The 26,615-nt window shown below is 45.4% G+C and overlaps 3 pseudogenes across 2 annotated transcripts in view, besides 3 other annotated features; all 3 read left to right on the forward strand.

Annotated features, from left to right (window-relative positions):
• On the forward strand, positions 1,551-2,450 carry VN1R20P (vomeronasal 1 receptor 20 pseudogene; annotated as a pseudogene).
• Positions 3,973-4,173: a silencer, noted in NCBI's record as "peak4544 fragment used in MPRA reporter construct". NCBI's record gives its function as "represses an SCP1 promoter by STARR-seq MPRAs in K562 erythroleukemia cells {active_cell/tissue: K562}" and the evidence as "EXISTENCE:reporter gene assay evidence [ECO:0000049][PMID:32103011]".
• FGD5P1 (FYVE, RhoGEF and PH domain containing 5 pseudogene 1) lies at positions 7,746-11,634 on the forward strand (annotated as a pseudogene). The gene is made up of 2 exons (NR_036481.2): positions 7,746-8,313; positions 8,829-11,634. The product of NR_036481.2 is annotated as an FYVE, RhoGEF and PH domain containing 5 pseudogene 1 (transcript).
• Positions 8,901-9,401: an enhancer, noted in NCBI's record as "H3K4me1 hESC enhancer chr3:13975708-13976208 (GRCh37/hg19 assembly coordinates)". NCBI's record gives its function as "activates a minimal SCP1, AML or CMV promoter by ChIP-STARR-seq in naive H9 embryonic stem cells {active_cell/tissue: H9 hESC(naive)}" and the evidence as "EXISTENCE:reporter gene assay evidence [ECO:0000049][PMID:30033119]".
• Positions 9,402-9,902: an enhancer, noted in NCBI's record as "H3K4me1 hESC enhancer chr3:13976209-13976709 (GRCh37/hg19 assembly coordinates)". NCBI's record gives its function as "activates a minimal SCP1, AML or CMV promoter by ChIP-STARR-seq in naive H9 embryonic stem cells {active_cell/tissue: H9 hESC(naive)}" and the evidence as "EXISTENCE:reporter gene assay evidence [ECO:0000049][PMID:30033119]".
• A 362-nt stretch (positions 11,635-11,996) lies between the features above and the next one.
• TPRXL (tetrapeptide repeat homeobox like (pseudogene)) overlaps positions 11,997-26,615 on the forward strand; it is a 128,678-nt pseudogene continuing 114,059 nt past the window's right edge. Inside the window, exon 1 of the transcript NR_002223.3 lies at positions 11,997-12,169. The product of NR_002223.3 is annotated as a tetrapeptide repeat homeobox like (pseudogene) (transcript). The remainder of the gene's footprint in view (positions 12,170-26,615) is intronic.

The following is a 26,615-nucleotide window of genomic DNA, read 5'->3' on the forward strand; positions in this document are numbered from 1 at the left end:
TGGGGCCTTGGCCCTTTGGTTTTGGCCAATTTCTCCCATTTGGAATGGGTGTATTTACCCAATTCCTGTACCTGCATTGTATCTAGAAAGTAACTAACTTGCTTTTGATTTTAAAGGCTCATAGGTGGAAGGGACTTGCCTCATCTCAGATGAGACTTTGGACTTGGACTTTTGGGTTAATGCTGGAATGAGTTAAGACTTGCTGGGACTGTTGGAAGGGCATGATTGTGTTTTGAAATGTGAGGACATGAGATTTTGGAGGGGCCAGGGGCAGAATGATATGAGTTGGCTCTGTGTCCCCACCCAAATCTCACCTTGAATTGTAGTTCCCATAATCCCCATGTGTCATGGGAGGGACCCAGTTGGAGGTAATTTAATCATGGGGGCAGTTACCCACACGCTGTTCTTGAGATAGTGACTGAATTCTTATGAGATCTGATAGTTTTATAAGGGGCTTTTCACCCTTTTGGTCAGCACTTCTCCTTGATGCCGCTGTGTGAAAAAGGAAGTGTTTGCTTCTCTTTCTGACATGACTGTAAGTTTTCTGAGGCATCCCTAGCCCTGCAGAACTGTGAGTCAATTAAACCTCTTTCTTTTATAAATTACCCAGTCTCAGGCAGTTCTTTATAGCAGTATGAGAACAGACTAATACATAACATCTCTAGAAGTAACATGGTCCTTTGTATTTATAGGTGAGATAATCAGGGTTTAGATGTATAGGTGACAATTGTAGATCACACATTTAGTAAATGTCAGTTTGGGGTTTTAGTTCAAGGCATTTGACTTCAGAGTCCACACTTACCAACATCTAATCTCTTATGATTAAGAGTATTTAATCATACTCAGATACTCAGGAGGCTGATGTGGAATGATTACCTGAGCCCAGAAGGAGAAGGTTGCAGGTTGCGATGAGCCTTGATCACATACAACACTGCACTCTAGCCTGGGCAACAGAGTTAGTGAGACCCTGTCTCAAAAAAAAAAAAAAGTATTTGCCTGGCAATAAAGAAACCAAAATAAAGATAGCACTGAGATAATATAACTGTATACATGGCTATACCATTGATACTCATTGTATGAGGGGGTCTCATTTCTATGTCCATGAAATTCTCCTGAATTGAATTCAGCAAAAATAGTAGAGCTCTTCCTGTGTACTGTACCTGGAACTTTACCAGGTTTCTGCAAATACAAATGGAAACAACTCATTGCTCCTGCCTATGAAGAAGTAGAACTATGGTAAAAATAAGAAAATGGCTTCCCAATAATAGGGAGTTATACTATGGAAGTAATGTGGAAGCCCAGCAATGGGAATCATAGTCCAGCCATGATGGCATAGTCATGGGAGAAGAGAGAGGGTGGGGATGGCTTCCAGGAGGGTGTGAAGAGGGGGTCCAGTACTGAAGGGGGAAAAGTTGGATCAGGATTAATTCATGTATTTTGATGATGGCAATAATGTTGGTTGAGATTGAAAGAAGTGGTAATATTTGTAATAAAGAATTTTTCTTGCTTTTCTTCTTAGACATTCACTATGTGCTTATTTTCCCCATAAGATGAATAAAAACAACAAACCTTCCAGTTTCATAGCCATAAGAAATGCTGCTTTCTCTGAAGTCGGCATTGGGATCTCTGCCAATGCCATGCTCCTTCTCTTCCACATCCTCACGTGCCTTCTCAAGCACAGGACCAAGCCCGCTGACCTGATCGTTTGTCATGTGGCTCTAATCCATATCATATTGCTGCTACCCACAGAGTTCATAGCTACAGATATTTTTGGGTCTCAGGATTCAGAGGATGACATCAAACATAAGTCAGTTATCTACAGGTACAGGTTGATGAGAGGCCTCTCCATTTCCACCACCTGCCTGCTGAGTATCCTCCCGGCCATCACCTGCAGCCCCAGAAGCTCCTGTTTGGCAGTGTTCAAAGATTCTCACATCACCAACCACGTTGCTTTCTCTTCCTATGGGTCTTCCACATATCCATTAGTGACAGCTTCTTAGTCTCCACTCTTCCCATCAAAAATCTGGCCTCAAATAGCCTTACATTTGTCACTCAATCCTGCTCTGCTGGGATCCTGAGTTGCTTCCTTGAGCAGACAATTTTCACACTGATGACATTTCAGGATGTCTCCCTTGCAGGGCTCACGGCCCCCCTCCAGTGGATACATGGTGATTCTCTTGTCCAGGCGTAACAGGCAGTCCCAGCATTTTCACAGCACCAACCTTTCTCCAAAAGCACCCCCAGAAAAAATGGCCACGCAGACCATTCTTCTGCTCGTGAGTTGCTTTGTGATTGTGTATGTTTTGGACTGTGTTGTCGCCTCCTGCTCAGGACTGGTGTGGAACAGTGATCCAGTCCGTCATCGAGTCCAGATGCTGGTGGACAATGGCTATGCCACCATCAGTCCTTCAGTGCTAGTCAGTACTGAAAAATGAATGATCAAAGTCTGAACATCCATGTGGGAGAAGGACAATAAATCCCTAATTATTCAGTAATGCATAATGTCTCTTAAGATGAGCATATCCTTTTTAAAATGATTAATCCCATCATAGGGGATATGCTTTCTAGGTTCATTTAATCATATGGGGTTATGCTTTTTCTGTTAAGCCTATTTACTTTGAAACATGTTACTAAGAAGTATACAATAGACAATTTAACCCTATAACTACTGAGATAACACAAGGATCTAATTCAAACCATATACATAAAACTGGAGCTTTGAGTTTCAAACTCCAAATGACAAAACAGAGATGAGCGAGTGTCTGAAGATGGACCTTGGAGCCATGAAGATGCAGGGAGCTGGGATAATAAAAAGGCACAGGGAGGCTTTGGGGTGGCTGTGGTTTCTGCCTCACATGTGGTCCACATGCTGATATTTATCAATGTGTGTGCTTTTAGTATGTATACTTTAATTTTGTCACTTATAAACCAACAAAGCTGTTAATAAAATAGAGAGTCTGAATAGAAATACAACAAATAAAGAGATGCGTTTGGTAATCAAAAAACTCCCCACATAGAAAACCCCAAACCAGAAGGATTCATCACTGATAAACTGTGTCAAATATTTAATGAAGAATTAACACCAATGCTTCACAGAGTCTCCATCCTCCTCCGCCCTCCACAACAACAAATGACTACCTCTCCCCATGACTCAGATCTCTCCAGGGTTCACAGGGCAAAGTCCCCCAGAAAAAAACACCTTTCAGAGTCCCAAGACCCTGTCACTCTGCACTAAATCCCACCAGCGCCCACGGCCAGAAGGAAAACTTTCAAAATATGAGTTAGAATATCATTAAAAAGTCAGAAAACAACAGATGCTGGGGATGATGTGGAGAAATAGGAAAGCTTTTACACTGTTAATGGGAGTGTAAATTAGTTCAACCATTGTGGAAGACAGTGTGGCAATTCCTCGAGGATCTAGAACCAGAAACACCATTTGACCCAGCAATCCCATTACTGGGTATATACCCAAAGGATTATAAATCATTCTACTATAAAGACAACACACACATATGTTTATTTTGGCACTATTCACAATAGCAAAGACTTGGAACCAACCCAGATGCTCATCAATGATAGAATGGATAAAGAAAATGTGGCACATATGGAATACTATGCAGCCATAAAAAAGGATGAGTTCATGTCCTTTGCAGGGACATGGATAAAACTGGAAACCATCATTCTCAGCAAACTAACACAAGAGCAGAAAACCAAACACTGCAGGTTCTCGCTCATAAGTGGGAGTTAAACAATGAGAACACATGTACACAGGAAGAGGAACATCATACACCAGGGCCTGTTGTGGGGTGGGGGGTTAGGGGAGGGAGAGCAGTAGGAGAAATACCTAATGTAGGTGACAGGTTCATGGGTGCAGCAAACCACCATGGCACGTGTGTACCTATGTAACAAACCTGCACATTCTGCACATGTACCACAGAACTTAAAAGTGTAATTTAAAAATAAATTAATTTTTTTTAAAAAAGAATCTGTCCCTCACCTGCTTTACCTCCTCTACGGCTCTGCATTGTTAGGAGAATAAAATCCGAAGTCCTTGTACTGTCCGTCCCTCTGAGTTCACCTCAACGTTGCCCTTCATCCAATGTGTATAACATCTCAGCCTTGCCTTTCTCTTGGAATGGTGGTGAGACTGGGGGATGTCCTTTGGGAGATGTGACTCCCCTTGTCGCCTGTATAGTGCCACACCCAGGAGGGGTTGGTGAAGAGGCTCTCAACCAGGCCTGCCCTCAGAAGGGTTAATGTGGCCTCTTCATCCCTTGGTTGCCATGGGGATAGTTCTTGTCCTTCAGGAAGCAGGGAGAGCAGTTCCCTATTTTGAAGAAGGCTTGAGGGGTTTTCCTCCAATCCACGTGGCCCAGAGAGGGGCAGGAAGCCTAGGGCCAGCTGCCCCTGCTGCTGGGTGTGTGACAGAGCTGTGCCCACACCCCGCCAGCCAGGAGGGGCTGTTTTGAAATGCAGCCTTGGGAAAAAGCCAAACAAGCCAGGGCAAGGAAAAAAAATGGCTGCCTGGAAGAAGAAGGTGGCCACTTCCTCCACAGACCTTGAATCCCACCCAGTGATAAAAATCCCACCCAGTGATAAAAACTCTGAGCTGACCCTGCCCAGCCTCCATATGTCATGAGATGTATGGAAAGGGTGGAGCACAGAACAGGTGCTCCCCAGGCATCCACTGTCAGCATTTATTACTGTCATTGCTATGACTGCCTGTTATTAGTGCCACTACCTGCCTCCTCACCTGGCTGATGCACTGGATGTCCAGGTTCCTTTGATCCCAACTTCTGGGATCAAACCTGGGCATGGGCACAGCTCTGTCACATACCCAGCAGGCTCTGTGGTGGACACCTGGCTGGTCCTTGGATGGTGATGGTCCCCTTGACCCCCAATTCCAACACTCCTGCTGGGTTTTCACCACAAGGTTGCTGGCAGCTGCTGGCCTTCTGATCGTCCAAAGTAGATAGAGGGCAGGATGGAAAGAGCAAAAAGAAAGGGGGAGAGAGGGAAAGCCTGCTCAGATGTTAACACTGCTGGCATCTGCCTTAGAAGTTCCTGTCCTCCACCTTCCAGGCTCCTCCAGAAAAGTGCAGAGAGGCTCTTGCCCCCAAAAGGCAAAGCCATGGACTGCAAGCATTCACAGAGTAGTAAATGGGTGAATGGGATGCGAGTCCTGGCTGGGCTATAAGGGCAAGTCACTTCCCCTCTCTGGGCCTCGGGTTTTTCCATCTGTGAAATGGGTATATAATAACTCCTTTATACAATTCTTGGGATGAATATATATGTTAAAGGCTCAAGAAAGTAGCGATGATGGTCATCACCCCCACACATCATGTCTTTTGTGGGTATTTACAGTTACTCCCCCTGAATTCAGTGAGTGGCTGTGGCTCAGTCCCATAAATACAACCACCAGTATTGGCAGTGGGTGTTTGTAAAGCCAACAGTCTCTCCCATCCATTTTCTCTTATTAGGAACAGCAAACAAAGGAATAAGCATTTCAACTTCACAGCCCATCACTCCACACTATTGTATGGCTTCAGCTACACAAGCTCAGACCTGTCATTTTCCCAGCTGGCCTTGGTGCTATGATCTTTTTAAGCAGACTCTGCTTAGCATCAAAGCCCAAATTCAACAGTAGTGGAAAGGGCTTAGCAAGCCTTGTCCCTGTTGTCCTCCCTTCTCCTTTGCAAGGGCCGACAGCGAAGAGTAACACTGGTGGTGAACTGAATTATCTGAGTCTCCCTCACCTGCTCCCACCCTGGGAGTTCTAGGATATTTTGCTTTTATTGCTAATCTCAGAAACAAGCTCAAGTTTTAAAAACATGCTTTCTTTTTCCATCAAACATTGAAGCAATTTATCTACTCACTCATTTGTACCCACAGTTAAACACAGATATACCTGCTCCATGACCTCCGTCACCTCCCTTGACTCCATTACCTACACTACCTCCATCAACTCAATCCTTTCCACCACCTCCCTTGACTCCATCACCTATACTACCTCCATCAACTTAATCCACTCCATCACTTGTCCCACCTCCATCACTCGACTGCCTCTATCACCTCCACCACCTCGCTCAACTCCACCACCTCCCTCAACTCCACCATCTCTACCACCTCCATCACCTCCCTTGGCTCTGTCATCTATACCACCTCCATCAACTCAATCCACTCCATCACCTGTTCCATGTCCACCATCTCCTTCGCCTCTTTCAGTTCCACCATGTCTACATCATCTATCAATTCTACCACTTCCAGTTCTTCCACCGAATATACTATGTCCTCCAGCTGCACCACAACTTCCACAACTACGTCAATTACCCTTTCGACCTCCACCACCACCACCTCGACCTCTCCACCACCACTAGTTTCTACTACCACCTCTGCCTCCTTCACCTCCAACACCACCTCCACCACCTGTTTCTGCTACTGCCACCTTCGCCACCTCTACCACCTCCACCATCACCTCCATCTCCATCCCTGCCACACCTCCATGCATGGACCCATAAAATATATCAAGAGCCTGTCTAAGTAACACCAAATTCAGCCACAGATTTTCTATTCGAGTCACAAGTATTTCTCCACAAAAGACTGGAGGATTAAGGGATCTGTGGTGGCTTAGAAATGGAAAGGTCTTTGAAAGGATCAAATTCAGTTCCTAATTTTACAGCTGGAGAAATCAGATCTGCCTCCAGCACCACCTCTGCCAAGCCAAAGCCCTGGACACTCCTCCAGCAGGCCAGGCCTTCTCCCACCTCGGTGAAGTCTTTGCCCCAGCAATTCCTCCTACTGGGAAGGCCTCTCCTCTGGTTGAACCCTCCGCACTGGGGTCCTCCTCTGAGCTCCCACAGGCGCCTGTGCGTTCCCATCCCAGCACGAGCCTCAGAGTAGCAGAACTATCTGCCTGTGTCTGTGTGGTCAAGCAGACTGGGAACTCCTGGGAGGTGGAGGCTTGGTCTGAGTCATCTATGTAGCCGAGCACCAGGCAGGTATCTGTGAGGGGCTACGCGGTGTGTACTGAGTGGATCAGGAAAGGCTCCTCATTAACTGGGTCTCCCTTACCAATGTCACCTCCTCAGGGAGGCCTTCCTTGACCACCCATTCTCTATTCCAGTGGTTCTCAAACCTGGAGGGTTTGATAAAACACGGGGTTTCTGATTCAGGGAGGCTAGGGAGGGCCCCAAGAATGCGTGGCGCCCTCTGAGAGCCACCGCTCAGCTCCATTGCCCTGGTTTCCCTCCCTCGCTTTGAAATGGTGTCTCCAGCGACTTCCTCCCGTCTAAGCTCCATGAGGGCAATAATTTGGGGCTGTCTTGTTCTGTGCTCAGCGCAGAGGCTGGCGCGGCACTGAACGAATGTCCAGAGTTAAAAATAAAGGGATAGATGGTCCGCTGGGTGAAGGAGCCAGGAACATCCCAGAAGCCCAACTCGCTTGAGCTCTGGTCCCTCAAACCTCACGAGCCTCCTGCCGTGCCCATGGCCACGGCCCCTTTAAATGTGCGCAGGGACGCCCCGACCCTCGGCTTCCTGGATCCCTGACCCAGCAGGAAAACAAAAACAAAAACAAAATCTTTCCTCTTGTGGCGCGGAGGAAATGTCTAGGAGAGAACGGAGGTGCGGATGCGGCGCAAGCAGAGGCGCAGGCGAAGGCGCGGCGGCCAGAGCGCAGGGTTCCGGCGCGGAGCCCTGAGTCCGGAGCGGAAGCGAAGCCGCGCGCTGCCCCGGCCGCCGCCCACGCGACTTCCGGCGGCGCCGAGGCACGCGCGCCATAAGTTGGAGCTCCCGGGGCGCCCGGGACGAGCTTCCCAGGATTCCCCGACCTTCCCGTGCTGCTCGGCCTTGGCCGAAGCATGCGCGGCTCCGGGGTCCCCTCGCCGAGAATCGGGGTCCCCCCCACCGTCCAAATCGCCCCGCCTCAGGGACCCGCCTCAGCCTTGGCGAGGCCGCGCCCTGGCCGTGTGAGCCCATATCCCACTCTCACGGCGGTCCCCAGAGTGAGGGTCCCTTCCACAACGGAGAAAGACGTCCCTTTCGCAAAAGCGACTTGGTCGGGTCCCCAGACCCTTGCCCTCCACTCCCAGACGTCACAGACAGGCCTCGCTCCCTTCTCAGGGGCCCCACCTGACTGAGGCTTGGCTGGACACAATCCTGAAGCATGCAGATTCCAGACATGACCCCCAGCAGAAACACACATCACTGTTTCAAACCTTTGGCGTGTCATTCGTGAAGGGATGAGATGGCAGCTATTCAGTCATAGTACTCCAAGGGTCCCCGGCTCTACCCTCCAGTTATTCTAACTCAACGGTGAGTTCTCAGCAGAGGCTGTCTTCTCTTGACCCTAGGAGACCCTGCCATCTGCAGTGCTGTGCGTGTAGCTAGTGGGTACCCAATGGAGTAGCTGTAGAAGGGGGGATGTAAGCTCCATGAGGGCAGCAGGGAGGGTGACAGCAAGTTCAGCCTTTTCCCATGGTTGCTGGGTCATAGAAAGTGTTTATCAGTAGCTGCTGGATGAATGAATGCACTGACCTGGACACTTCATTTGAGGAGCACAGGATTTCATTTGGTTGATTTTCATTAGTTGGGCTGCGTGTAGAAGAAAGGTCTGTTCACTTTGTTTACAGAATGAATCTTTAGTGGAAAATCAAGGGGTTTTAAAGATTCTGGTGGAGGGCATAAGCCTAAGACAAAGCACGGGAGGTGGGCTTCACATGGACGGACGGAACTATCTGCAGCGTCCCCTGCAAGTGGTGTGTAGGAGACTCTGAATGGAAATAAAGTTAATCGTACTTTTTCTCCTTTTCTTTATTTTTGTCCTCTAGATTTGCCAAAACCACCTGTCGCTCCCAAGCCAAAGACTACCAGTCCACTGACGCCAGTGACCGCACCCAAATTCCCTTCCTCAGCCAGGCTCGAGAGTCTTCACAGTCCAAACTCCATGTTCACGGGTCTGAAGCCCCCCCATTGCCCCCAAGCCCAGGCTGACTGCCCCAAACGAGTGGAGAGCCAGTGTGTACCTGAATGACAGCTTGAACAAATGCAGCAACGGACGGCTGCTCTGTGTAGACAGGGGGCTTGATGAGGGGCCCCGGTCCGTCCCAAAGTGCTCTGAGTCAGAGACCGACGAGGATTACATCGTCCTCAGGGCTCCGCTGAGGGAGGACGAACCCAAGGACGGGGGCAGTGTGGGGAATGCAGCCCTGGTGTCTCCCGAGGCCTCTGCAGAAGAGGAAGAGGAGCGTGAGGAGGGAGGCGAGGCATGTGGCCTGGAGAGGACAGGAGCTGGTAAGGACTCGGCGGCTATTGCTGCCCCAGCTGCAGTATTGCTGAGCAGGGAGGGTGAAGAAGGCACAGACCTCACTCCTGAGGACCAAGGAGAGGGCTGCGGATGAGCCAGGGACAGAAGAGCAGGTGTCCAGAAGTGAGGAGGAAGAGAAGCTGGTGCAGCCACACAGGGAGTGCAGCCTGGACAATGGCAGGCCTTGGGCTGGAGAGGTGGTCTTCCAGAGCGACCTCCTCCTGCCTCACATCCATGGAGAGGACCACAAGCCCCCCGACAACCCTGGGGAGGCAGAGGAGGATGATGAGGAAGGCTGTGCCAGGACAGACCCAGCGGGGCACATGAGGGTTCGGATCCTGACAGGCCCACTGAGGACATGGGAGAGGATGCTGAGGAAGCCAGCGAGGAGGCCCCTGAGAAGGAGGAACTGGCCGGGGTCCGGAGGCAGAGACGGCCATGAACAGCCCTGAGGTTCTTGAGGAGGGATGTGAAGAGGCCACAGGTGTCATAGGTGGGGAGCAGGTTGACCTTGGTGAACTACCTGACCATGAGGAGAAAAGCAACCAGAAAGTGGCAGCTGCCACCCTGGAGGACCGCACACAGGATGAGCCTGCTGAGGAGAGCTGCCAGATCGTCCTTTTCCAGAACAACTGCATGGACAACTTTGTGACTTCCCTCACAGGAAGCCCCTACGAGTTCTTCCCAACCAAGAGCACCTCTTTTTGCAGGGAGAGCTGTTCTCCTTTTTCTGAGTCAGTGAAAAGCTTAGAATCAGAGCAGGCACCAAAGTTGGGGCTGTGTGCGGAGGAGGACCCCGTGGTTGGGGCTTTGTGTGGCCAGCATGGACCCTTGCAAGATGGAGTGGCGGAGGGTCCCACAGCCCCTGATGTGGTGGTCCTGCCGAAGGAGGAGGAGAAGGAGGAGGTCATTGTGGATGACATGCTGGCCAACCCCTATGTGATGGGAGTGGGCCTGCTGGGAGGATGAGGGGGAGGAGGAGGAGGAGGAGTTCGTGGATGACACACTGGCCAACCCCTATGTGATGGGAGTGGGCCTGCCAGGAAGAGGAGGGGAGGAGGAGGAGGAGGAGGAGGTCGTGGATGACACGCTGGCCAGCCTCTATGTGATGGGAGTGGGCCTGCTGGGAGGAGGAGGGGGAAGAGGAGGAGGAGGCTGTGGATGACACACTGGCCAACCCCTATGTGATGGGAGTGGGACTGCCAGGAGGAGGAGAGGAGGAGGGGAGGAGAAGGAGGAGGAAGCCATGGATGACATGCTGGCCAGCCTCTATGTGATGGGAGTGAGCCTCCCGGGAGGAGGAGGGGGAAGAGGAGGAGGAGGTTGTTGATGACACACTGGCCAACCCCTATGTGATGGGAGTGGGCCTGCCGGTCTGGCAGCCCCTTGAGAAGGAGGGCAGGCTGCATTGGATGCCCTGGGTGGTTATGGCTCAGAAGAAGAAATGAACTGTGAAGGAGAGGGCAGCCTGGTCTCCGTGGACAGGAAGAACATCGACACAAGGGCCTGGCCCCACTCTGGGAAGGTGGCCAGAAACCGTCCCAGAAACTGCCCCCAAAGAAACCAGATCTGAGGCAGGTTCCTCAGCCCCTGGCATCGGAGGTGCCGCAGAGGAGGCAGGAAAGAGCTGTTGTCACTGAAGGGAGGCCCCTGGAAGCCAGCAGGGCCTTGCCAGCAAAGCCCAGGGCCTTCACTTTATACCCTCGGTCGTTCTCCGTGGAAGGCCAAGAGATTCCTGTTTCCATCTCTGTGTACTGGGAGCCAGAAGGGTCGGGGTTAGATGACCACAGGATAAAGAGGAAAGAGGAACATCTCTCTGTCGTGTCTGGGAGTTTCTCCCAGAGAAACCACCTTCCATCCAGCGGCACCTCCACGCCTTCTTCCATGGTCGACATCCCACCTCCTTTCGACCTGGCCTGCATCACCAAGAAGCCCATCACAAAGAGCTCTCCCTCTCTCCTGATCGACAGCGACTCCCCGGACAAGTACAAGAAGAAGAAGTCATCCTTTAAGCGGTTCCTGGCGCTGATGTTTAACAAGATGGAGAGGCCAGGCACGATGGCTCATGCCTGTCATCCCAGCACTTTGGGAAGCTGAGGCGAGCAGATCACCGAAGGTCAGGAGTTCGAGAGCAGCCTGGTCAACATAGTGAAACCCCGTCTCTAATAAAAATACAAAAATTAGCCAGGCATGGTGGTGTGCACCTGTAATCCCAGCTACTTGGGAGGCTGAAACAGGAGAATTGCTTGAACCTGGGAGGCGGAGGTTGCAGTGAGCCGAGATTGTGCCATTGCACTCCAGCCTGGGCAACAAGAGTGAGACTCCATCTCAAAAAAAAAAGAAGACGGAGAGTAAATTGCATGTGAAGCTGTCTTCCTCCAGGTCCCTCTTCAGAATCCAGCTGCCACAGGCCTTCCAGGAAAGTCAACCAGAGAAGCCTCAATAACTCCCCTCAGCTTAAGTCTCAAACTGGGACGCTCCAGGCTTCTGAATACCCCTCATCCCACATCTTTTATAGAGATGGCAAGAGGAAAGGTGTCTCCTTCAGCAGGATGGTGTCCAGAGTGGAGTCTTTCAAAGACCGCCCCTGACCGCCCTTTCTGCCCTTGCCACTGGCCAAGCCACTATCTATCTCCTTCCCCAGCGCTGACCATTCAGACTATGAGAACATTCCAACCATGAACTCAGACTATGAGAATATCCAGATTCTGCCCTGGAGGCCTGCAGGGCTGGTGTGTTCAGGAAGCTGTTTGAAGATCAGAGCAGAGCCCTGTCCACAGCAAACTAAAATGATGGCTATGTGGACATGAGCAGCTTCAACACCTTTAAGAACAATCAGCAGAGCACAGACCAGGACGCAGAAAGGTACCTGACATTCTATTTCCTTTCTCGTTTGGTAGCTGTAACTATTCAAAAGGCAGCGTGGGTGTGGGGGACAGATGGACTTGCTTTCCAGCCTCAGGCTCTGTTTCCCACTAGCTGCACTGACTTGGGGTGAGTGGCTTTACATCTCTGAGCCCTAGTTACTTCATCCATGAAACAGGACTCATGCTACCTCACAGCAGATATTTAAGAATATCAGAGTAGATATTCTATGTGAAAGCAGTGTATAAAATGCAAAATATGGTACACGTAAGAGCATTTTTTTTTTTTTGAGACAGAGTCTCACTCTGTCACCCAGGCTGGAGTGCAGCGGCACCATGTCAGCTCACTGCAAACTCCGTCTCCTGGGTTCAAGCAATTCTTCTGCCTCAGCCTCCCGAGTAGCTTGGATTACAGGCACCCACCATCATGCCCAGCTAATTTTTATATTTTTAGTAGAGACAGGGTTTCACCATGTTGGCCAGGCTGGTCTCGAACTCCTGACCTCAGGTGATCCGCCCACCTCAGCCTCCTAAAGACAGCATTTTTATTTACATTATTTGGGGGACAGTTATATCTCCTAGGTAGATGGCTTTGTGACTCCCCTCTGAGAGTGTCACCAAGAGAGAAAGTTTTGGAATCTTGCCAAACTAAATATCTTTTTTTTTTTTTTTTTTTTTTTGAGACGGAGTCTTGCTCTGTTGCCCAGGCTGGAGTGCAGTGGAGCGATCTTGGCTCCCTGCAACCTCTGCCACCCGGGTTCAAGTGATTCTCCTGCCTCAGCCTCCCAAGTAGTGGGGATTACAGGTGTCTGCCATCGCACCCGGCTAATTTTTGTATTTTTTTTAGTAGAGACAGGGTTTCACCACGTTGGCCAGGCTGGTCTTGAACTCCTGACCTCATGATCTACCTGCCTCGGCCTCCCAAAGTGCTGAGATTACAGGCATAAGCCACCATGCCTGGCCCCAAACTAAATATCTTTCACCATCAGGAAAATAGCCTAAATTGAGATTGATACTTTTTATTGAGTAAATATACACTGTATTCAATAAGGAACTAGAAAAGAAATTTTATTTGAATTGTTTAAGGAGCTAATGGTGTGGCTCACACCTGAAATCCCATCACTTTGGGAGGCTGAGGCAGGTGGATCACTTGAGTTCAGGAGTTCGAGACTAGCCTGGCCAACATGGTGAAACCCTGTCTCTACTAAAAATGTAAAAATTAGCCAGGTGTGGTGGCAGGCACCTGTAATCCCAGCTACTCAGGAGGCTGAGGCACGAGAATCGCTTGAACTCTGGAGGTGGAGTTTGCAGTGAGCCGAGACTGCGCCACTGCCCTCCAGCCTGGGTAACAGAGCAAGACTCAGTTTCAAAAAAAAAAAAAGAGCTAATGGTGCTGTTACAGGAAAGGGGTTCCAATCCAGACCCCAAGAGACGGTTCTTGGATCTTAAGCAAGAAAGAATTTACGGTGAGTCTCTACAGTGCCAAGTAAAAGCAACTTTATTAAGAAACTAAAGTAGTGAAAGCACAGCTACTCCATAGAAAGAGTAGGGCATTCCTGAAAGCGGAGGAATGCGTCCACCGTAGGTACAATGCTTGTGTGTGTGTGTGTGTGTGTGTGTGTGTGTATACACAAGCATTGTATATATTTTATATATACATATAAAATATATATACATACAAAAATATTTTATCCTATATATATGATTAAAAAGATTCTCGGGAGATGTGCTCTGCTACAAGGGTTTGTGATAAAGGATTAATTCTCTTAACTAGTATATTTTGCAAGAATTAATATTATTTTTAAAGCAAAATTAGGAATGCCTTTGTTCTCCAGATAGCAGAATATCTGGACACTCCCAAGTCTGGTCTGTTTAGTAAACGTTATTAATTTGTTCCCTTAGCTGTAAACATCTGGAGGCTAGGAATGTCTAACCTTTTGGGAACGCAGTCCAGCAAGTCTCAGCCTCATTTTCCTAGGCCTCACTCGAAATGGAGTTGCTCTGGTTTGAACGCCTCTGACATATCTCCCCCCTCCCTTTACAAAAGGACCCTTAATCCTGGGGGTTGCAGAGGGATGAAGATCTGTCTTCTGTAACTTTTTCAGGCTGAATAGGGGCAATGATATTCCTGCCTAAATTAGGGTCTCTTGCATTCAGGGTAGGGAGAAGCTCAGTTAAAGAGCGTTGGTATGGTTAAGGTTGTTTTTAACTCCCGAGTTCCGACAAAAGGTGATGTCTGGAAGATTAATAAGTGTTTAAGAAAGCATTGAGTGAGCTTGTCTTGCATTTCTACACAAAGAGTACAACTGCAATATATTCCACAACAGCAAAGCAAAATAGGTAAAATTATTCCAAGTAAACTTTAGGGGCAGGAATATCATCGCCCCTATTCAGCCTGGGTCCTGGCCCAAGAACTGGGCAGTTGTTGGAACCAAGCTGATAAAGGGTTGACTGATAGTGCATTCATGGCAGAGATATGAGTGTCTAAAGCTTTTTTTTTTTTTTTTCTTGAGATGGAGTCTCCCTCTGTCACTGAGGCTGGAGTTCAGTGGCACGATCTCTGCTCACTACAAGCTCCGCCCCCCGGGTTCACGCCATTCTCCTGCCTCAGCCTCCCAAGTAGCTGGGACTACAGGCGCCCGCCACCATACCCAGCTAATTTTTTGTATTTTTAGTAGAGACGGGGTTTCACCGTGTTAGCCAGGATGGTCTCAATCTCCTGACCTCGTGATCCACCCGCCTCGGCCTCCCAAAGTGCTGGGATTATAGGCGTGAGCCACCACATCCGGCCGTCTAAAGCCTTTATAGTCTGGGTAATATTATGCGAATAGTCTGGAACATACACACAACATTCGGTTTTGATTAAAGCACAAGTTCCCTCCTTGGGCTGCTGTTAAAATGTCCAAAGCCATATGGTTTTGTAAGACTACCTGCCTAATCGGAGAAGTTTCCTCAGGAGGGTAAGGGCCTGGGGTGTATTATTGAAAACTGCAGCCGTGTGCTTCAGTAACAAGGCTTCAACTTGTAACTCGATACTGATTGTAGCTACCTGTGGGGAAAATACAGCCATTGAATAGAACCATTTTGTTGCCTATGGTGAGCTTTCACAATTTCCCAGTTAGATGGGAGAGAGTCCAATTTGGTGAGGTTAGATCTCCGGAGGTAAGGATGACCACATGTACGTACACCTTTTATTCCAGTTACAAGGTAAGTATGGCCAGCCATGAGTTCTGCAAGCCCATAACCAACCCAAGGAGAAGGGTAGGCACTTACTTTTGGTAAGTTATCTTGCCATCCCATCCACGTTTGGTCTGTTAAAAGAAGGGTCTGATTACATTGTTGAGGTGACAGCCATCCCACATTATGGTTCCAGTTTGGTGGTGACTGTTGTGCCTTTTAAAACATAGAGGTGCTTTGCCTGATACCTGCACTCAAACAGCTGTCATTTGCCCAAGTTCATTATGTATAGCATAACCTAAAGTTGGGGTGGAGTTTAGCTGTTTTTTAATTAGATTAAAAAGGTGCTGTTTTGTTTCTTCATAGGAGTGGAAGGGGCTAAGTCCCGTGTGGCTATGATACATGGGAAAAGAGGGGCTATGTTTATAATGTTTCGTTTTCCAATCATAATAAAATCCCCATAAACTTAGGTTGGCCAGTTGAATATGCCAGGGCCACCCGGAAGTGGAGGAAAGGAGCAATTTTCCACATACCCGACAGTTTGATTTTGTAGAGAGGCCAAAGTCTGTGCCCACTCAGTAAATAAAATACTCTCTGCGTGATTCCAACTTATACCCAAAAGTAGAATGCCAATCCATATCTTTATGTTACCCATCTCTTGTATTTTTTTTGAACAGGAGTTGGAGGTCACTGATTGGCTTACAGGAATAAACGTGATTAGTCTTTCATGTTCCGTCGGCCTGTGGGACTTTTTATAAGAGACGGGTTTAATTTGAGATAGGTGGACCCCGCTGTTTATTTTCAGAAGTTTAACTGCAGTTGGGGTACTTAGGATAACTTGATAAGGTCCCTTACATTTTGGGAAAACTTGGTCTGCTGGGGATCTTTTCTTTCATGTTTTCAATAGGACCCAATCTCCTGGCTGGTTGTAACAAAATTCTCTTTCTTAGTGAAGGAAGGGAGTCTTTGATTTCCATATTTAAGGAGTGCTTTTTGCACTTATCCTAAGTTGATTACATAATTTTGTAGCTTGAAAGTATTTATGTTTATTAGGAGGTCTGTAGTTAAGAAAGGCCTTTCATTCATTATTTTAAAAGGGCTGAGCTGCAGATTTCCCTTTGGGGTCACTTGAACTCGTAATAAGGCTACAGGTAATAAATACAGCCAGGTTTCTGATGTTTCTTGTCATAGTTTAGCAAGAGTTCTTTATATTTTTACCTTTCCATAAGTTATTGGGGCACAGGTGGTATTTGATTACGTAAGTTCTTTGGTGGTGATTTGTGAGATTTTGGTGCACCCATCACCCGAGCAGTATACACTGCACCATGTTTGTAATCTTTTATCCCCCGCCCCCTCCCACTCTTCCCCTCAAGTCTCCAAAGTCCATTGTATCATTCTTATGCCTTTGCATCCTCATAGCTTAGCTCCCACAAATCAGTGAGAACATATGATGTTTGGTTTTCCATTCCTGAGTTACTTCACTTAGCATAATAGTCTCTAGTCTCATCCAGGTCACTGCAAATGCTGTCAATTCATTTCTTTTTATGGCTGCATAGTATTCCATCATATGTTATAAAAAATAAACTGTGATATATATATAATAAACTGTGATATATATATATCACAGTTTGGTAATATGGTATTATTTGATATATACTATATATATATAAACTGTGATATATATAATAAACTGTGATATGTATATATCACAGTTTGGTAATATGTGTTATTTGGTATATATATTATATATAATAAACTGTGATATATATCACAGTTTGGTAATATGGTATTATTTGGTATATATTTGGTGTGTGTGTATATATATATATATATATATGTATATACCTACATACACACACACACACATATATATACCAAATATATATATATCACAGTTTCTTTATCCACTCATTGATTGATGGGCATTTGGGTTGGTTCCACAATTTTGCAATGGTAAATTATGCTGCTATAAACATGTGTCTGCAAGTATCTTTTTTGAATAATGACTTCTTTTACTCTGGGTAGATACCTAGTAGTGGGATTGTTGGATCAAATGGTAGTTCTACTTAAGGAATCTCCATACTGTTTTCCATAGCAGCTGTACTAATTTACATTCCCACCAGCAGTGTAGAAGTGTTCCCTTTTCACTGCATCCACACCAACTTCTAATTTTTTTTTTGTGGTGGGTTGTGGGGGGGTTGTTATGGCCATTCTTGCAGGAGTAAGGTGGTATCACATTGTGGTTTTGATTTGCATTTCCCTGATCATTAGTGATGTTGAACATTTCTTCATATATTTGTTGGCCATTTGTATATCTTCTTTTGAGAATTGTCTATTCATATCCTTAGCCCACTTTTTGATGGGATTGTTTGGTTTTTCTTACTGATTTGTTTGAGTTCCTTGTAGATTCCAGATATTAGTTCTTTGTTGGATGTATAGATTGTGAAGATTTTCTCCCACACCGTGGGTTGTCTGTTTACTCTGCTGACTGTTCCTTTTGCCATGCAAAAGCTGTTTAGTTTAATTAGGTCCCAGCTATTTATCTTTGTTTTTATTGCATTTGCTTTTGGGTTCTTGGTCATGAAATCCTTACCTAAGCCAATGTCCAGAAAGCTTTTTCCAATGTTATCTTCTAGAATTTTTATAGTTTCAGGTCTTAGGTTTAAGTCCTTAATTTATCTTGAGTTGATTTTTTGTATAAGGTGAGAGATGAGGATCCAGTTTTGGTCTCCTACACGTGGCTAGCCAATTATCCCAGCACCATTTGTGGAAAAGGATGCCCTTTCCCCACTTTATGATTTTGTTTGCTTTGTTGAAGATCAGTTGGCTGTAAGTATTTGGGTTTATTTCTGGGTTCTCTATTCTGTTCCATTGACCTATGTGCCTATTTTTATAACAGTACCATGCTGTTTTGGTGACTATGGCTTTGTAGTATAGTTTGAAATCAGGTAATGTGATGCCCCCAGATTTGTTCTTTTTACTTAGTCTTGCTTTGGCTATGCAGGCTCTTTTTTGGTTCCTTATGAATTTTAGAATTGTTTTTTTCTAACCCTGTGAAGAATGATGATGGTATTTTGATGGGGATTGCGTTGAATTTGTGGATTGCTTTTGGCAGTACGGTCATTTTCTCAATATTGATTCTACCCATCCACCAGCATGGGATATGTTTCCATTTGTTTGTGTCGTCTATGATTTCTTTCAGCAGTGTTTTGCAGTTTTCCTTATAGAGGTCTTTCGACTCCTTTGTTAGGTATATTCTGAAGTATTTTATGTATTTATTTATTTTTGCAGCTACTGTAAAAGGGATTGAGTTCTTGATTTGATTCTCCACTTGGTTGCTGTTGGTGTATAGAAGAGCTACTGATTTGTGTACATTAATCTTGTATCTGGAAACTTTGCTGGATTCTTTTATCAGTTCTAGGAGCTTTCTGGAGGAATCCTTAGGGTTTTTAAGGTAAACAATCATATCATCCACAAACAGTGACAGTTTGACTTCCTTTTTGCCTGTTTGAATGCCCTTTATTTCTTTCTCTGGTCTGATTGGTCTGGCTAGGATTTCCAGTACTGTAAAGAAGAGTGGTGAGAGTGGGCATCCTTGTCTTTTCCCATTCTCAGAGGGAATGCTTTCAACTTTTCTGTGTTCAGTATTATGTTGTCTGTGGGTTTGTCATAGATGGCTTTTATTACATTAAGGTATGTCCCTTGTATGCTGATTTTGCTGAGAGTTTTAATCATAAAGGGATGCTGGATTTTGTTGAATGCTTTTTCTGCATCGATTGAGATGATCATGTGATTTTTGTTTTTAATTCTGTTCATGTGCTGTATTACATTTACTGACTTGCATATGTTAAACCATCACTGCATCCCTGGTATGAAACCCACTTGATCATGGTAAATTATCTTTTTGATATGTTGTTGGATTTAGTTAGCTAGTATTTTAGCATCGATGTTCATCAAGGATATCGGTCTGTAGTTTCCTTTCTTGGTTGTGTCCTTTCCTGGTTTTGGTATTAGGGTGATACTGGCTTCATAGAATGAATTAGGGAGGGTTCCTTCTTTCTCTATGTTGTGGAATAGTGTCAAAAAGATTGGTACCAATTCTTCTTTGAATGTCTGGTAGAATTCTGCTGTGAATCCTTCTGGTCCTGGACCTTTTTTGTTGGTAATTTTTAAATTACGATTTCAATCTCACTGCTTGTTGTTGGTCTGTTCAGGGTATCTAATTCTTCCTGATTTAAGCTAGGAGGGTTGTATTTTTCCAGGAAGTTATCCATCTCTTCTAGGTTTTCTAGTTTATGTGCATAAAGGTGTTCATAGTAGCCTTGAATGATCTTTTGTATTTCAGTGGTGTCAGCTGTAATATCTCCTGTTTCATTTCTTAGGTTATTTGGATTTTATCTCTTCTTTCCTTAGTTAATCTTACTAATGGTCTATCAATTTTATTTATCTTTTCAAAGAACCAGCTTTCTGTTTCATTTATCTTTTGTACTTTTTTTGTTCCAATTTTATTTAGTTCTGCTCTGATCTTGGTTATTTCCTTTCTTCTGTTGGGTTTGGGTTTGGTTTGTTCTAGTTTCTCTATTTACTTGAGGTGTGACTTTAGATTGTCTGTGCTCTTTTAGACTTTTTGATGTAGGCATTTAGGGCTATGAACTTTCCTCTTAGCACCACCTTAGCTGTATCCCAGAGGTTTTGATAGGGTGTGTCATTGTCATTCAGTTTGAAGAATTTTTAAATTTCCATCTTGATTTCGTTTTTGGCCCAGTGCTCATTCAGGAGCAGGTTATTTAATTTCCATATATTTGCATGGTTTTGAAGGTTCCTTTTGGAGTTGATTTCCAGGTTTTTTCCACTGTAGTCTGAGAGAGTGCTTGATACAATTTCAATTTTCTTAAATTTATTAAGGCTCATTTTATGGCCTATCACATGGTCTATCTTGGAGAAAGTTTCGTGTGCTGTTGACTAGAATGTGTATTATGCTGTTGTTGGATGAAATGTTCTGTATATTTGTTAAGTCCATTTGTTCTAAGGTATAGTTTAAATCCATTGTTTCTTTGTTGCCTTTCTCTCTTGATGACCTGTCTAGTGCTGTCAGTGGAGTATTTTAAAGTCCCCTACTATTATTGTGTTGCTGTCTATCTCATTTCTTAGGTCTATTAGTAATTGTTTTATAAATTTGGGAGCTCCAGTGTTAGGTGCATATATGTTTATGATTGTGATATTTTCCTGTTGGACAAGGCCTTTTACCATTATCTAATGCCCCTCTTTGTCTCTTTTAACCATGTTGCTTTACAGTTTGTTTTGTCTGATGTAAGAATAGCTACCCCTGCTCGCTTTTGTTATCCATTTGCATTAAATGCCTTTTTCCACGCTTGTACTTTAAGTTTATGTGAGTCCTTTTGTGTTGGGTGAGTCTCCTGAAGGCAGTAGATAGTTGGTTGGTGAGTTCTTATCCATTCTGTCGTTCTGTATCTTTTAAGTGGAGCATTTTGATATTTACATTCAAATGTATTGAATGAAATATTGAAATGTGAGGTACCATTGCATTCATCTTGCTCTTTGTTGCCTGTGTAATTTGTTTTTGTTGTTGTTGTTTTGTTTTGTTTTTGTTTTTTAACTTGTATTTTTGTTTTATAGGTCCTGTGTGATTTATGCTTTAAAAAGGTTCTCTTTTGATGTGTTTTCAGGATTTGTTTCAAGATTTAGAGTTCCTTTTAGCAGTTCTTGTAGTGGAGGTTTGGTAATGGCAAATTCTCTTAGCATTTGTTTGTCGGAAAGTGACTGTATTTTTCCTTCATATATGATGCTTAGTTTTGCTGGATACAAAATTCTTGGCTGGTAATTGTTTTGTTTGACGAGACTGAAGATAGGGCCCCAATCCCTTCTAGCTTGTAGGCTTTCTGCTGATAAATCTGCTGTTAACCTGATAGGTTTTCCTTTATGGGCTACCTGGTGCTTCTGTCTCACATGTCTTAAGGTTCTCTCCTTCGTCTTAACTTTGGGTAACCTGATGGCAATGTGCCTAGGTGAAGATCTTTTTGCTATGAATTTCCTGGTTTTTTTTTTTGTGCTTCTTGTATTTGCAAGTCTAGGTCCCTAGCAAGGCCAGGGAAGTTTTCCTCGATTATTCCCCCAAATATGTTTTCCAAGCTTTTAGAATTGTCTTCTTCCTCTGGAACACCAATTATTCTTAGGTTTGGTCATTTAACATAATCCCAGACTTCTTGGAGGCTTTGTTCATATTTTCTTATTCTTTTTTTCTTTGTCTTTGTTGGATTGGATTAATTTGAAGACCTTGTCTTCCAGCTCTGAATTTCTTTCTTCTACTTGTTCAATTCTATTGCTGAGACTTTCCAGAGCATTTCACATTCTAAAAGTGTGTCCAAAATTTCCTTACTTTTTGATTGTTTTTTCTTTAAGCTATCTATTTCCTTGAATATTTTTCCCTTCACTTCTTGTATCATTTTTAGGATTTCCTCACATTGGGCTTTGCTTTTCTCTGGTGTCTCCCTGATTAGCTTAATAACTAACCTCCTGAATTCTTTTTCAGGTAAATCAGGGATTTCCTCTCGGTTTGGGTCCATTGCTGGTGAACTAGTGTGATTTCTGGGGGGTGTTGAGCCTTATTTTGTCATATTACCAGGGTTGGTTTTCTGGTTCCTTCTCATTTGAGTAGGCTCTGTCAGAGGGAAGGTCTAGGTCTGAAGACTGTTGTTCAGACTTTTTTGTCCCATGCAGTATTCCCTTGATGTAGTAGTCTCCCCCTTTTTCTGTGGATGTGGCTTCCTGTGAGCTGAACTGCAGTGATTGTTATCTCTCTTCTGGGTCTAGCCACCCAGCAAGTCTACCCAGCTCTGGGCTGGTACTGGGGGTTGTCTACAAAGAGTCCTGTGATGTGAACCATCTATGGGGCTCTCAGCCATGGATACTAGTGCCTGTTCTGGTGGAGGTTGCAGAGGATACAGTGGACTCCATGAGGGTCCTTAGCTTTGGTGGTTTAATGCTCTATTTTTGTGCTGGTTGGCCTCCTACCAGGAGGTGCTGCTTTCCTTAAATGACCTTTATCTTCTGCTACTACGGTGGATAGGGAAGGACCATCAGGTGTGGGTGGGGGTAGGAGTGTCTGAGTTCACACTGTCCTTGGGCAGGTCTTGCTGTGGCTGCTGTGGGGGATGGAAGTGAGATTCCCAGGTCACTGGAGTTGTGTACCTAGGAGGATTATGGCTGCCTCTGCTGAGCCATGCAGGTTGTCAGGGAAGTGGGGGAAAGCCAGCAGTGAAAGGCCTCACACAGCTCCCAAGCAAACAGAAGGGCCAGTCTCACTCCCACTGTGTGTCCCCCAACAGCCCGGAGTCTGTTTCCAAGCAGAGGGCCAAACAGGCTTGAAAACTTACCAGAGGCTTTCCACCTCCCAGCTGAGAGTGAAAGGGGATTTAGTTCTTCCCCGTGCCTGTGAAGTCTGCCAGGTTCGCACCCTCCCCCGAGTTCTTGCCAGGAGGCTTCTTGCCCCGTTCAAATTGTTACAAAGCTCAGCTAGAGAATTCCTTCTCCCTGCGGAGTTTTACCGCCTGCCCCTCTGGCCACCCTTCTGCGGGATCCCTGTGGTGTCAGGCAGGAATGGGCTGTTTGGGGACCCAGTGAGCTCCCAGGACCTTTCTTCTGCTTCCTCTGCCTCTGTATTTTGCTCGGCTCTCTAACTTGACTCAGCTGCAGGTAAAGTCGGAAAGTTCTCCCACAAACAGAACTTCAGCTTCTCCAGTGGGGGCGTGTGTTTGGGAGAGGAGAGTCTCCCTTTCCCACTTCTGTAGTTGGGGCACTCACAGTATTTGGGGGGTCTCCCAGGTCCTGCAGGAGCACTGCTTCCTTCAGAGGGACTGTGGGTCCTCTCAGGATTGCTGGTTTGTTCTTGCAGTGGATCTGGAGCTAAAATTCACAATGCAAGCCTGCATGCTGCTCTGTGCAGAGCTGCTATTTAGTCCTCAAGAGTTCTTTTTAGAGTTTGATTAGCTCTTTCTACTTTCCCTGAAGACTGTGGCCTCCACTCCAAGTGAAGGCAGTATTGAATTTCTAAGGCTGAAAATATGTTTTGGGTAATTGTTGCTGTGAAAGATGGACCATTATCACTCTGTAAGCTCTTAGGCAGCCCAAGTCTAGGAATTATTTCCTTTAGTAGGAGTTTAGAAACCTCAATTGACTTTTCAGACTGCATAGGAAAAGCCTCGATCCCACTGGTAAAAGTGTCAACAAATACTAATAAATATTTAAACCCTTTACATGGGGGCATTTGAGTATAATTTATTTGCCAGTCTTTACCAGCGTATGTTGCCCTATGCTGAACAGGCCTTACTAGAGGAGGAGATAAAGATTAGTTATTTGGGTTATTCTGGGCACAGAGTTCACAGGCCTGAGTTACCTGCTTTACTATTTTAAGTAAGCTTTTTCCTATAAAAAGCTGAGACATGAATTGAAACAGGCTGTCTCTTCCCAAATGAGTAAAGTCATGCAAATGCTTAACTGTTTTCCACTGATTAGCACCTGGTATTAGCAGTTTGTTGTTATTGATAGGCCAACCAAAAGGATCTTAAATTAAACCCTGACCTTTAGCCCACTGTCATTCCTCTTTGGTGTATGAGTTCTGTCATTACCGTGGCTGAGGGCACTAACATGCTGACAAGTTCAGCTGGCTCCTTTAACACTGCTGCCTTAGCAGCTGCATCTGCAAAGGAGTTTCCCTTAGCCGCACTGGCGTCTCCTTTTTGATGTCCTCTGCAATGGATTACAGCTACTTTCTTGGGCAGCAAAACAGCATTCAATAGATTCAGAATTTTTTAATGATATTTTATAGGGGAACCGTTAGCAGTTAGGAGTCCCTGTTCCTTCCAGATAGCAGCATGAACATGAAGTACCAGAAAGGCATACTTAGAATCAGTGTGTTAATTCTTAAGTCCTTTCCCAATTGCAGGGCTCTACTAAGAGCTATTAATTCTGCATTTTGAGCTGAGGTAGAAGCTGGTAAGGCCCGGGATTCAGTTACCTCATGTTGACTGACAACAGCATACCCAGCTTTCCTGTTTCCCTGGTGCACAAAGCTACTTCTATCTGTAAACCATTCTGCCTCAGGATTATCTAGAGGCTCATCTTTTAAATCCAGATGGCTGGAGTATACTTGCTCCATAACTTGTATACAAGAATGATCTAGGGTAGGTGGATTCAAATAGGTAGGTGGATTCAAAGTTTGACATACTTTAAGTGTTATATTAGGAGCACCTAGCAACAAAGCCTGATATTTTAATAAATGTCCCCCTGTCATCCACTGGTGTCCTTTAGCTTTTACACTCCTTGTACTTAGTGTGGGGCTAAAACATCCAGATGTTGTCCTAAAACCAGTTTATTGGCTTTATCTACTAAAAGAGCAGTTGCTACCACTTCCCTGAGGCATCCAGGCCATCCCAAAGGGAGATGGTTTAATTGCCTGGAAAAATATGCCACTGGTCAGGGAATATCTCCTAACTTCTGTACAAGGACACCTAGGGTGGTTCCTTGTTTTTCACCCACATAAAGGAAAAATGGCTTAACAAGATTAGGGATTCCTGGGCTGGAGCTGATCCCAGTTTCTCCTTAAGAGCATTAAAAGCCTGTTTACAGTTATTATCCTGTTCAAAAGGATTTACATCTGCTCCTTTTAGAGCCTCATATAAAGGCTTGGCTATATGCCCAAATCCAGGCACCCATAAACGGCAGAATTCTGTCATCCCTAGGAAAGCCCACAGCTGCTTTTTAGTTTGGGGTTCTGGAATGTCCAAGGTAGCTTCCCTTTGTTCTGGCGCTATTGCCCAGGTGCCAGGGGTTAGGACATATCCTAAGCGTTTAACCTCTTGAGTTGAAATCTGGGCTTTATGCGTCTAAACCTTATATCCATTAGCTCCCAGAAAATTTAGCAACATGGTGATATTTTCATTTGAGTTTCTTTTGGTTGGGCTAGAAATCAGCAGATTATCTACATATTGAATAATACTGCCCTTATTTAATTGTAACATCTTTAATTCTCTAGCCAGTGCATTTCCAAATGGATGAGGACTGTCCCTAAACCCCTAAGGAAGAACTGTTCAAGTTAATTGAAAAACTAAATGACTATCAGAATCAGTCCACTTAATGAATTGTGAATCAGCGTGTACTGGAATGCAAAAAAAAAAAAAAAAAAAAGCATTCTTAAGATCTAAGATCGTAAACCAATTGGCATCCCCAAGGACCTCGGCTAATGGCAAGTAGGGATTGGGCACTATATTATGTATGGGAATGACAGCCTCATTGACAATTTGAAGATCTTGAACAAATTTATAGTCTCTATTTGGCTTTGGCTTTTTAACTGGTAAGACTGGCGTATTACAAGGAGACTCACAGGGCCTTAGCAACCCAAATTGCAAAAACTTAGCTATTAATGGTTGGACCCCTCTTTGTGCCTCTGGCTTTAAGGGGTATTGTCTCTTCCAGGGGTATAGGCTTAAGTTGGATGTAAACTGGGGAAACATTTAACATTTTGCCTGTAATCTTAGTGTCCCATACTATAGGATCTACTTGGGAGATTACTTCAATAGGTAAAGTAGATAAGCCCCCTATTGACTTTCCTCCCTTATCACAGGAAAGGAGGAGGAGTAGTTCCTCACCTGCCTTGTGATTTCCAAAAGATACCACTGTCTGCAGCTGAGTCAACAAATCCCCTCCCAACAAAGGGGTGGGGCACTCAGGCATGATAAGAAAGGCATGTGAGAAAACCAAAGTCTCTGAAGAACAGCTTAAAGGATAGGTCAAATGGCATCTATGGGCTTGTCCATCTACCCTGTGACCATACAGTTTTTGGGTGACAGAGGCCCATTATAATGGGCGAAAACAGAGTAAGCAGTCCAGAAGGAAGTTAATATTCTTACCTGCCACATCAAGGGTTACTGAGGCTTCTCCAGAGATATGGCTAGTTGTCTGATGGAAACTGTGGCAGAAGGCCTTGGGCCCCCATCACTCTTGGGTTTGTCTGGCTAATTGGCCATTATTGGTTCAGGTGCCAATGGCTCCCTCTTCCAATGACCACTTTTCTTACAGGGTGCACACTGATTTATGCACAAGGCACAGTGACTCAGACATCCAGCTTTGGCCTTCCCACCTTTCAGCTTCCCTTGTTCAGGCCAAAGGCCAGGAGGGCAACCCCATCAGCTCCAGCCCAGGAATCCCTAATCTGCAGCTTAAGGCTGCAGCCAAGAGCTGCACCTTGGGGGAGG

This window comes from Homo sapiens, chromosome 3 (assembly GCF_000001405.40).
Source record: "Homo sapiens chromosome 3, GRCh38.p14 Primary Assembly".
Classification (NCBI taxonomy): domain Eukaryota; kingdom Metazoa; phylum Chordata; class Mammalia; order Primates; family Hominidae; genus Homo; species Homo sapiens.